This window comes from Homo sapiens, chromosome 15, assembly GCF_000001405.40.
Source record: "Homo sapiens chromosome 15, GRCh38.p14 Primary Assembly".
Lineage (NCBI taxonomy): Eukaryota > Metazoa > Chordata > Mammalia > Primates > Hominidae > Homo > Homo sapiens.
The window spans coordinates 36,624,623-36,637,081 of NC_000015.10; the positions used below are offsets into that span (position 1 = coordinate 36,624,623).

General features: G+C 39.0%; 1 protein-coding gene and 1 pseudogene across 19 annotated transcripts in view, besides 1 other annotated feature; one reads left to right on the forward strand and one right to left on the reverse strand.

Moving 5' to 3' along the window:
* The window catches only part of CDIN1 (CDAN1 interacting nuclease 1), a 230,619-nt gene that overhangs the window by 44,997 nt on the left and 173,163 nt on the right, over nucleotides 1-12,459 (forward strand). The window lies entirely within an intron of this gene.
* Nucleotides 2,055-3,154, reverse strand: TPST2P1 (tyrosylprotein sulfotransferase 2 pseudogene 1; annotated as a pseudogene).
* Nucleotides 2,510-3,011: an enhancer, noted in NCBI's record as "H3K4me1 hESC enhancer chr15:36919333-36919834 (GRCh37/hg19 assembly coordinates)". NCBI's record gives its function as "activates a minimal SCP1, AML or CMV promoter by ChIP-STARR-seq in primed H9 embryonic stem cells {active_cell/tissue: H9 hESC(primed)}" and the evidence as "EXISTENCE:reporter gene assay evidence [ECO:0000049][PMID:30033119]".

Sequence of the window (12,459 nt, forward strand, 5' to 3'; positions counted from 1 at the left end):
CTGCATATTCAGGAAGGTACTTTTATGCAAGTTTTTGCATTTCCTTGTTAAATTCTTAAAAGTATCAGCTTGGTAATTGGGGGTTGGGATGGGAGTAAGAAGCAGAAGACAGGGAAAAAGTATGAGATTATTAATACCATTATTTTAATATAACTGAGAATTTATTTGGGAAGAAAGTAGTAAAGATGGTAGTTATACCTACAATTTTTATAAATTATAAGAATTACAAAGTGAAAGTGACCAGTCATTTTTGCGGGTTTTATATGAGGTTTCTGTGACCTATTAAATTAAGAAAGATTAGTGGGGGCAGAACATATATTTTTGTGCAGAAAAAGAATAAGGAAATATTTAAATGGTTTTAAAAAGTATATTAGGCTGGGTGTGGTGGCTCACACCTGTAATCCCAGCACTTTGGGAGGCTGAGGCAGGCGGATCACAAGGTTAGGAGATTAAGACCATCCTGGCTAACACAGTGAAACCCCGTCTCTACTAAAAATACAAAAGAAAAATTAGCCGGGTGTGGTGGCGGGCACCTGTAGTCCCAGCTACTTGGGAGGCTGAGGCAGGAGAATGGTGTGAACCCGGGAGGCAGAGCTTGTAGTGAGCCGAGATTGCGCCACTGCACTCCAGCCTGGACGACAGAGCGAGACCCTGTCTCAAAAAAAAAAAAAAAGTATTCTAAACTTTTTTACTCTGTGAAAAGGTTGGAAAGTAACTGTGCTTATTAGACATAGACTAGTAGCATTATGGTCACGGAATTAAATTTAACCTCTAGATGTTCATTCACTTATGATTGCATAGAGTTAGTAGGATGTCTTATGTATTCTAGCAGGATTTCATACATTGAAGAATTCTCTGATAAGAGAGATTCATTCATGATATTTTCTGTATAAGCAAAACCAGAAAATATTTGAAATTTAGGGGAAAAAATTCGACACCTTGGAGTAAAATTAGATTACTTCATAAAACCCAACATATGTAGCTAACCTGATGCAGCCACAAACTTGTTTTCTGTGGAAGTTTTTAGAACTTGCTTTTCAAGAAAGAGACTCAGAGTTGAACTCGGGAGAGCCTGGCCCAGTCCTGGATCTTGAAGAATTAGTTAGCTAGCTGGGAATATTGGAGGAATAATTAATCATCAACTCTCAGTATGGCCTGTTACGTAAGGATCCCCAGTGCCTTAGTGTGCTCAGGCTGCCATAGCAAAATACCATAGATTGGGTAGCTTAAACAACAGAAATTTGTTCTCTTGTTGAAATGTTGTCATTTTCTTAATTTTAATATTTAATTACTGGATTATTTTGTTACCTTTTATTTCACATTTAAGCATTTTTATCAGATTATAGTAAGTAAATTTATTCAAGATGAACTCTACAAAAAATAGTTTATATGTTCTTAGAGATTATGTATTTTGTATTGGGTACATCTCTGTTATTGTCATCAGGATATATTTAAATATATATTAAAATTAGATATGTATGTTAAAATTGCATGTATTAAATATTATGTGATATATATAATTTATTTTTAAATTTTTGTTTATTTAAGCCCCTGTTCATTTTATTCAAATCATTTTTTTTTTCTCTTCAAAACTAGCTAGAACTGATGGGGAATCAGGGAAGGCCTTATATATTAAATTCTTAAGTAGATTCTTAAAATTCAAAGTAAGGATCTGTAAGAGAAGCACAGTCTGTGGGCCTTGTTCCAGCAAACAAAGCCACAAAGGGAGTCCTGCAAATTAAGGAGGATGGCAAATCCATTTCTTAAAAAAAAAAAAAATAGTTCTCGAGGGGAAAAATATAAAATACCTAAGTTTCAAAAGCCAGACGAGTTCCACAATCATTGCTTTCCACCGTAGGGTATCCAAAGATAGAGTTTCAAGGTATGTTTTCAATGATTCAGTTTTGCAAACATATGCAAATATATTCCTCATTAGCCATCCTGTTTTGGCGACTAATAGCAAGCAATATGCTTGGATAAGGGGTCCAACTTCCACTTAAATGCAGTTTCTTCTCTTTTGGGCAACAAAGCCATTTGCAGAGATCTGGAAATCATGAGCTTCCTAAGTGGGAGGAGGTGCTATTCTGGTTCACCTGAAAATATCCTTTCAGATTGACTGGTGTTTTATAGTCCCTTACTTGGTGTGCGTTACTGATGATGATGGGGGTCAGGGTTGCTATAGTGGAAGTGGGGGTTGGGGAGGGTATTTGCATAGGGGTCATGGCTAAGCTGAGCCAGCATGGGACAATCTGGGCCATGTCTGGCACCATGTCCCCAGGGATGTGGTGAGTCCACTTGGAGAGCACTTCCAGGTTCACAGGCTTGATGACCTCATCCATGGACCACTGGATCTTAGACAGGGAGATGCCATTCCACTTGCCAGTGAGGTCTTGATGGTGGAGGACAGTGTTGCTCCAGGTGATGCCGAGATGGTCTGGGATGAGTCTGAGGAAGCTCCTAGGCTACAGCACCAGTTCCTTGTAGTACACGAGCAGGCACTTGTCCTTGCCCACCTCCATGCACTGGGTGTACATCACCTCTATGGCCTTGTTCCACTTGGTGAGGCAGTTGCCATAGCTGCTGAGGTCGAAGCCTGGGTAGTGACCTTGCAATAGTGACCTTGCATGTGATCAAGGAGTGCATGGAGACATGGCTGTCCTGAGCCATAAGCAGGAACTTGGAGCTGGAGAACAGGTGTGACAGGTAGACCAGTGATTCAAGGACTTGAGTCTGAAGTGGTCCTTGTTGGAGAGCACATGGGCTGGCTCCCTTTGCTTAGAGATCACCTCCAGGATGAAGGCCTGCATGGCAATGTCCAGCACCTCGTCAGTCACGCCCGCCTTGTCCAGCTGTAGTTTCTTGTGGCCAGACTTGGACCAGGCCTGGTGCATGGCCAGCACACAAGGGATGATGTGCGTCTCCTTGCTGCGGTGCACCTCAAGGTGGGCATCCAGCCCAGTGAGTATCAGCATGGTGCCGCTGCAGAGCATACTGCTCATGAAGATGAGTGGCATGGCCTTGCTGTAGTGGTACTCCACGTGGTCCATCCGATCTACAGGGTCCACTCGGGGCTTCACCTGCCAGCACTGCCTGGCACATTAATATCTGCTGCCCCAGCTGGACCAACCATCACCAGGGCCAGGGCACAGCCAGCCCGACCTGGCAGGCCCAACCTGGGGACTCACTTCAGGGACTGTAGCAACAGGTCAGTGGGCGGCCCACCAGGTTCACATCTTGCATCACATCAGGGAGGTGGTCCCACATGCCCAGTGACTCCTGGCTCAGCAGCTGCCCCTGCCGGAGAAGTGGGAGGCCTGTAATTTTTTTTTTTTTTTTTTAGTACCAGGTCAGCATGGGTTTATGGAACACTGGCTACAGTAAATGTGTGAAACATTGTAAATTTTTTTTTCCCAATTTTAATTAAATTTATTTTTGACTTACATACAGTTAAATTCCCTCCTTTTCTATACAGTTCTGCAAGTTTTGACAAACACATGGAGTTGTGTAGCCATGTGTTGGACCTAACACCATGGTCAAGATGTTGAACATATTTATCATCCCCTAAAAATTCCGTTAGCCCTTTTGTGGTCAGTTTTTCCCCCCTGCCCTGGAGCCTAAGGATCACTTATCTGCCTTCTGTCGCTCTATTTTTCCTTTTCCAGAATGCCATAGAAATGGAATCATGTGGTAGATAGCCTTTTGAGTTTGGCTTCTTTTACTTAGTAGAGCACATTTGTGATTTCTCCATGCTGTTACTTGTATTGTTGCAGAGTAGTATTCCTTTATATGGATGTATCACAGTTTGTTCATCCATTATTAAAGGTTGTTTATATTCTTTCCAATATAGATGAAGCTGCTATAAAAATTTGTGTGTAGGGCTTTGTGTGGTAAATATCTAGAAGTGCCTCAGGATAGATCATCCCCATAATCTAACTCAAACCTAATTTAGGTAAGATTTGGGAGTTTGAGATGATGCTTATTTAGATGACATTTTGAACCTGAGTTGATTCTGTGATGAGTTGGGACTTTGGGGGATGCTGGGATGGGGCAAATGTATCTGGCATGTGGGTCAGATATGAATCTTTAAGGCCAGAGGGTGGATGGTGGTGGCCGAAAAGTAAGTCCCTTAAAGATATTAGGTCCTAAGCCATGGAACTTGTAAATGTTACCTTACATAGACTTAGAGTCTTTGCAGATGTAATTAACTTAAGGATCTTGAGATGGAGAGATTATCCTAGAATACCAGGATGGGCCCTAAATGGAATTACATGCATCCTGAGAAGAGCAAGGTAGAGGAAGTTTTTACCACACATACTAAAAGGCAATGTGAAAATGAAGCAGAGAGAGATTTGAAGATGCTGATCTTGAAAATTGGAGTGATGTGTCCACAAGCTAAGGAATGCAGGCAGCTACCAGAAGCTGAGAGAGATGAGAAATGGATTCTCCTCTAGAGCCTCTGGAGGGAGCATGGCCTTGCTAAGACATTGATTTTGGCCTGCTGATAAGGGTTTTGGACTTCTGGCCTCCAGAACTGTGAGAGAATAAATTTCTGTTATTTTAATCCACCAAGTTTTTGGTAATTTGTTACAGTAACCATAGGAAACTAAAGTGTGTGACCATGGTAGGATGTTTAGTAAATTTTTATTTTTAAGATAAAGTCTTGAGAAAGTAAAATTAATTTGTTTGATTTTGATAAGTAGTTGGTTTAAGAAGCCATCTGAAGTGGGTCAGAACTGATCATCTTTTTAGCACTGAATATTACTGAGGAAAAACTTACAATATTATTTGGTGCTATTTTTAAGACTAAGGCTTTCGTGGAAGAAAAGGCAAAAGGATACCATGGAGTAGAAAGATTATTTGTTAGTGGTTAACAATTATCTCGCTCATGGTAATAATATCATAATTTAGTGCCTACTAAATTATGCTGAACATTGCTTGTTAGAGAAGTGATTTTGTCACTTGAGTAAGAATTGATACCATTACTCTCTAACGTCTCATGTTATATTCTAAACCCTTTTGACAAATGCCCTTTGAAAGCTACATTTATTTCTAGAATCCAGTCACTTCTGTTTTCCTCTGCATCAGGCTACCATGATTAAAATCTTGAAAGCCAAACAAATTATTGAATTTGAAGTTACTGCAAATTGGTGAGGAGAGGCGGGTGCTTCTAGGTCTTCATAACCTTCTTGTCTATTTTCTTGTGATAACCAAGTTTAAGCCAGGGACCTCCTAAAGAAAATATGTGAAGAATTGAAATTGTGAGGTTAAATATTTTGTATATGTGCATACATATATATGTATATTATTTTTTAGGTAACTTTTCAGGTAAAGATCTGACGGCTCTTTTAGTAAATATCTGGATTAAGTCTTATATCAGAAAATATGGTAATTTAGGAGAGGCTGGAATTTCAGCAGTGAAATAATTGTGTTAGACCACGAGATGGTTATTTAACCTCTGTTGGAGGAAGTGGTACCTTACAATCAGTGGTGAATAAAAGAAGTTAATTATTTTCCTTGATCTTCTCACTCTGTGGTTTGATTACTTTAAAGGCCTAGAGGTCTTCAGAGACAATTTAATCACTGTAGCTATTGACCTAGAATAGAACTGCTACAGTAGGCCCACATAAAAATGTCCAGTGTCAATATGATTATGGGTTATTATTATTAGGACCAAGGCGCAGTTTTTTGATAAAACTCTACTTAAACATCTTAGGGCTGTAAGTAGAGAGAAATTTAACAAATTTAACTCTTAGATTTGCAGAACTGATAAAATCATAGAACTTTTAAGATGAACCGGATTCTAAAGAAGTTACCAATCAGTTTACAGACGGTGGAATTGAGACCTACAAATATTAAGTGATTTTTCCAATTAGATTTTAAGCACTTCAAGAATAAAGACAATATTCCCTATTGGTGCTCCCTTGACAATACAACTGTTGATGCCACCCTCCCTATTGTTTAATACATATTTGTGGAATACATAAAGATGTTGTCTTAGTCTGTTTTTGCTGCTAGAAGGGAATACCGGAGGCTGGGTATGTTATAAAGAAAAAAGCTTTACTTGGCTCACAGTTCTACAAGCTGTACAAGAAGCAGGGTGCTGGCTTCTGCTTCTGGTGAGGGCTTCAGGAAGCTTCTATTCATGGTGGAAGGCAAAGGGGAGCTGATATGTGCAGAGACCACATGGTGAGAGAGGAGGAGGAGGGGAGAGAGAGGAAAGAAGGGAGATACCAGGCTCTTTTTAACAACCAGCTCTTTAGAGAACCAATAGAGCAAGAGCTCATTAATATGAAGACTCACCCAGCCACTTATGAGGGATCTGCCTCCATGGCTCATACATCTCCCATTAGGCCCCACCTTCAACACCGGTAACCAACCTTCAACATGAGATTTGGAGGAGGTCAAGTAAACCAAACTATAGCGGATGCCTACCAGAAATTTGCAAAAGAAAACTAGTATTTTGAAGGACTGAACAATGGTCCCGTATCAGGAGAAATGATACATAACCTGGAAAAATAATCCCTTTTAGTGTTGTGAGGTCACATTTAAAATTTTGTATTTATAATGGAAAAAATGGAAGTCATAGAAGGAAAGAAGTTCATAATTTTGATCTTCTATTTTTTTAAGAATGGCTTTATGGAGATATTTATGTACCATAAATTTCACTCTTTAAAAATATACAGTTCAGTGGTTTTTAGTATATTCACGAAGTTGTACAACCGTCACCACTGCCTAATGTCAGAACATTTTCATCACCTCCAAAAGAAATCCCATATTATCAGTCACTCCCGATCTTTCCCCTCCTTGTCCCTGACAACTACTAATCTGCTTTCTACTTCTATTGATTTTCCTATTCTAGACATTTCATACAAATAGAATCGTACAAGATGTGGCCTTTGTGACTGGATGTTTCCATTCATATATTTTACAGACTTATCTGAGTCATAGCATATATCAGTACTTCATTTCTTCTTATTGCTGGATAATATTGCATTGAATGGGTATATCACATTTTATTGATCCATTCATCAGCTGATGGACATTTGGGTTGTTTCTACCTTTTAGCTATTATGTATAAAGTTGCTATGAGCATTTGTGTATAGACTTTTGTTTAGAAACATGTTTTTAGTTCTCTTGGGTATAAACCTATGAGAAGAATTACTGGGTCATATGATAACTGTGTTTTTTAAAAATTTATTTATGTATATTTATTATTCATATTATTTGAGACAGGGTCTTGTTCTCTTGCCCAGGCTGGAGTGCAGTGGCACAGTTCTAGCTCACTGCAGCCCTGAACTCCTGGGCTCAAGTGATCTCCCCACCTCAGCCTCCCAATTAGCTGGGACTACAGGCGTGCACCACCACGCCCAGCTAGCTTTTTAAGGAATTTTTTGTAGAGATGGAGTCTAACTAGGTTGCCTAGACTGGTCTTGAACTCCTCAGCTCAAGTGATTCTCCTGCCTCAGCCTCCCAGAATGTTGTGATCACAGGTGTGAGCCACCATGCCTAACCATAACTCTGTATTTAGTATGTTGAGAAACAAACTGTTTTCCAAAGCGGCTACACCATTTTGCAATCTCACCAGCAATATATGAGGGTTCCAATTTCTCTACATCTTTGTAGCCTCAAAACTACAGTCTCTTGGACATTCTGCTCCCTAGTCTCCCACCCCTCTGAAGCACAGAGAGGAGCTTTCTCTGAAGTTCTCTCATCTGACTAAGGGAAGTTCCTTCAGAAAGAATGTGATTGTCATGAATAACTTCCCTGAATTCTACACTAACCAGAGAAGATGACTCATATCACAGAAGAGGAGGCTGACAGGTCTTCATGCCCAGGACACCACACCCAGACAGACTTTTCACCAGTACTTCTGAGGGCTGCCACCTGAGAGACTTTATCTGCATAATAAGATGATCTTTGTTTATAGTACAGTTCCTCCCCTTGCCCTACCGTAGTTCAACCATCTGGCGTTTCTCTGCATCTCACACTTTGTGGGATCCCCCATGCATATGCATGTTATAAGTGTGTACACCTTTTCTTCTGCTAATCAATTGTCAGTTTATTTTATAGACTCTAATTATTGAATTTCCCGAGGGGAAGGAGAGGGTTCTCTCCCCTCTGCAGCATGTAGGGCAAGAGAAGACTGAAGAGACCACATTTAAAAAGATGACTGATAAACATTTCTTACAAATCTATTATTTATATAATGTGTTGAAGTTATTAGGTTTACTTCAGAGAAAAATGGCCAGAAGCCTGGTCTTGCAAGTGAAATTAAGTGTCACACAAGCCTCTTATTCTTTACCTGATTTATGTTACGACTTGTTCTAAAAAGTTAATACCTAAATTTAATTAGAAATGAAAGAAGTATAGGTACTTAAGACTCTCATTAAATCAGAACATTTAGAAAAGGGTGGGACTTAGAGCAGAAAAGAATCTTAAAGATCAATTTATCCAACTCCTCCTCAATTTTGTCCTTCTTTTCTTTTTGCCTACCTAATTAATTTTGTTATAAAATATAGCACAAATATAAAAGAACAGAGAATGATAAATGAACCCTTTGAATATACATCTGTTTATATTTGCTTCAGGTGCTTTTTACTTTTACACAAATGACATATTCCAATACTGTTATACGTTTTCTTTTCACTTTGATTTTTAGTTTTTTGATGAACTGTTGTAGGTATGATTGAATGTACTTCTCTGTGATTTCTTTCCTCTTCTCTGTCACCTGAGGTAACTCTTTTCTTGAGTTTAGTGCTTATCAGTCTCATATTTCTTTTACCACATCCATATATATATTCACAAAAAATAGGGCATTATATTTTGCTGTTTGATACTTTATATAAATGGTGTTAAATGTGAATGTAATTCTATAATGTGCTTTTTTTGGGTAAACACTACATTTTTTGACATTTATCTATGCTGATACCTGGTTAGCATAAGTTCCCCACTTGTTATTGCTTTCCAGAATTTGTTAGCTATTCTTATGTATTCTTCTTGAATTTTAACATACATTTATTATGTCCTACCGGAAGACTCTGTTGTGATTTTGGTAGCATTTTTATTAAAATTATAGATTAATATGTGGAGAACTGACAATTTTATTTACACTATCATTCCACCCATGATACTTTTTTTTTTTTTTTCTTTCCTGAGACAGAGTCTCACTCTGTCACCCAGGCTGGATTGCAGTGGTGGGATCTTAGCTAACAGCAACCTCTGTCTCCCGGGTTCAAGCAATTCTGCCATCTCAGCCTCCCGAGTAGCTGGGACTACAGGCATGCGCCATGATGCCCAGATTATTTTTTCTATTTTTAGCAGAGACCACTGTGTTACCCAGGCTGGTCTCGAACTCTGGGCCTCAAGTGATCTGCTCGCCTCGGCCTCCCAAAGTGCTGGGATTACAGGTGTGAGCCACCATGCCCAACCCACCCATGATACTTTATAAAAATGTCACAATTCTGTGTTTAGTCAAAAAGTCTTTTATGCTCTTCAGTAATGTTTTATAACTTTCTTCAAAACTTTTGGCTGGGTGTGGTGACTCACGCCTGTAATCGCAGCACTTTGGGAGGCTGAGGCAGGTGGATCACAAGATCAGGAGATCGAGACCATCCTGGCCAACATGGTGAAACCCCGTCTCCACTAAAAATACAAAAAATTAGTCAGGCGTGGTGGTGCATGCCTGAAACCCCAGCTATTTGGGAGGCAGGAGAATCCCTTGAACCAGGGAGTCAGAGGTTGCAGTGAGCCTTGATCGCGCCACTGCACCCCAGCCTGCAGAGAGAGCAAGACTCCGTCTCAACAACAACAACAACAAAAAGTTTTATATATTTTTTAAAAACACATTTCTAAATACTTTATGGCCTTTGATTGTGAATGATAGCTATTTTTCTATTCCATTCTCTCATTGGATAGTACTGATTTATAAGAATTCTTATTTATATTAATCTTGTCTCCAGTTACCTTTCTGAGATACTAGTTTTATACCTTGTTTGTAGATCTTGCTGTTTTTATGTAGAAAGCCATCTCATCTGCAAATAAGGAGGGTTTGTTTGTTGTATTCCTTCTTGATGCTCTTATTTCGTTTCCTATTTTCTTTTGTGTGGTAGGATACGTAATCTGCTAAGACCTCCTACAGTAAAACCAGTTCCTTTCGCCTTTTTTCCTAAAGTCCAGTTAATGATACAAAGTTCTCACAAATTTTGATACATACCACCATTGCTCAATTTTATGCATTTTTGTTTTTTCCATCACTTCCTCTTTCATCTATGAGTAACATAGGAATGTGTTTTTTAATTTCTGAAAATTTTTTGGAGGACTATGTTTTTAATTTTGAATTCTAATTTAATTACTATTTGATTTGATGCAGTCTAGTCAAGTCCTGAGCAGAACTTTTGACAGCTTTATAGGGCTAGAGGACAAAGTTTAGAGATGAGGGCTTGCCAAAGATGAGAACTCTTATAAATATCCCAAGCTTTGGGGGCAGGGGGCCTCTAACAGACTATACCCTAGGAGTAAGTGTGAACTGAAATTGAAAGATCTCCCCCTGACAGTTTCAGATTTATCTGATTGGCACCAAAAATTAATACCTGAAATTGACTAAGGTGATCCTAGACTCCTGGTACTCCCAGTATCAAGTCAGAATTCTGTCTGGAGAAAACATCATTTCAGCCTTTAGATTTTTTATGAGATAGTTTTTCAAATGCAATTGACCCTTGAACAACATGGGTTTGAACTGTGTGAGTCCATTTATATGTGGATTTTTTTTCAACTAAACTTAGATTGAAAATATGGTATTTGCAAGACGTGAAACCTGCATATCTAGAGGACCAACTTTTTGTATACATGAGTCCTGCAGGGCTGACTTTGAGACTTGAGTATACACAAATTTGGGGTATCCTTGGGGGTCCTAGAATCAATCCCCTGTGTGTACCAAAGGACGACTCTAGTATGACACATAATGAGAGATACTCAGTTGCATAAGGACACATGACAACAAGAATGAGAGCCAGTAAAGGCTATAGTACTAGACTCAAAGGAGATCCAGTTATTGGAATTACCAAACAGAATTACTAGAATTAAACTTTGTTCGGGGAGTTATAAAAGAAATTAAAACATTCTGCAGGGAACTTATATGAAGAAGAATCAAATAGAAAATTTAGAACTGAAAAATACAGCAACCAATATTGGATGGATTTAACTCAGTGCATCAATTTAACAGTAAATTAGACATTACTGAAGAGAGGATTAGTGCACTGGAAGGTGGGTCACAAGAAAATACCGGAATGTAACATACAATAACAAAAGGGTGGAACATATGAAGAGAAACTAAGAAACAGAGGATACAGTAGAGAAGGCTGACAGGTTCATTGGGAGTCTCGGGGAGGAGCTTGAATGCAAAAGCAATGTTGAAGAAATTATGATCGAGCATATTCCCAAAATGATGAAAGGTACGCAGTCACATATTGAAGTCCAACAAATTCTAGGCAGGATTTTATAGTTGAAACTCATAAAAAGCAAAGTTAAAAGAAAATATTAAAGCCAGATAGAGGAATGAGACAGATTGTCATTACAAAGAGCCACAATTTGACTGTTACCTGACATCATCAACAAATCTGCACTGATGGAGTTATTAAAAGAAGGTAATGGGCCAGGCGCGGTGGCTCACGCCTGTAATCCCAGCACTTTGGGAGGCCAAGGTGGGAGGATCATGAGGTCAGGAGATCGAGACCATCCTGGCTAACATGGTGAAACCCCATCTCTACTAAAAATACAAAAAATTAGCCGTTTGTGGTGGCAGGCGCCTGTAGTCCCAGCTACTCTGGAGGCTGAGGCAGGAGAATGTCATGAACCTGGGAGGCAGAGCTTGCAGTGAGCCGAGATGGTGCCACTGTGCTCCAGCCTGAGCGACAGAGCAAGACTCCATCTCAAAAACAAAAACAAAAAAAACAAAAGAACGTAACGGAGATGAAAGAGTGGAAAGGAAGGAATGAAGAACAATGAGATGGCACATCTGTGGGTAAATCTGAGTAAGCAGAGATATATGCAACAGTAGCAGTGTCTTTTGAGATTTAAGAAATATACAGACTTAAGACAATTTCAGTAATATCCTACATTCCAGGAAGGGGACCTTTCAATAATGTTGTAGTGTTTTTATATTTTCCAGAAAGCAATAAATCACCAATCAATAATAAATTTTGATACATTGAGGAGGCAGCATGGTTTTCTAGAGTGATTATTAAAAGAATAGTAAAAGAGTATGTAACTTTTAAGTTGCAAGAGGAAAAGTAGTGAATAAACATTGAATCAATTGAAAAGTACGCAAGAATGGAGAGAAACATTACATATAGTGGGTAAGACAATAGCATTTAGTGAGATGATAGATTTAAACCTGAATATATCAGTACTTACATTGAATGTACCTGGTTTAGCTACAGTCATCAAAATGGTGTGGTACCT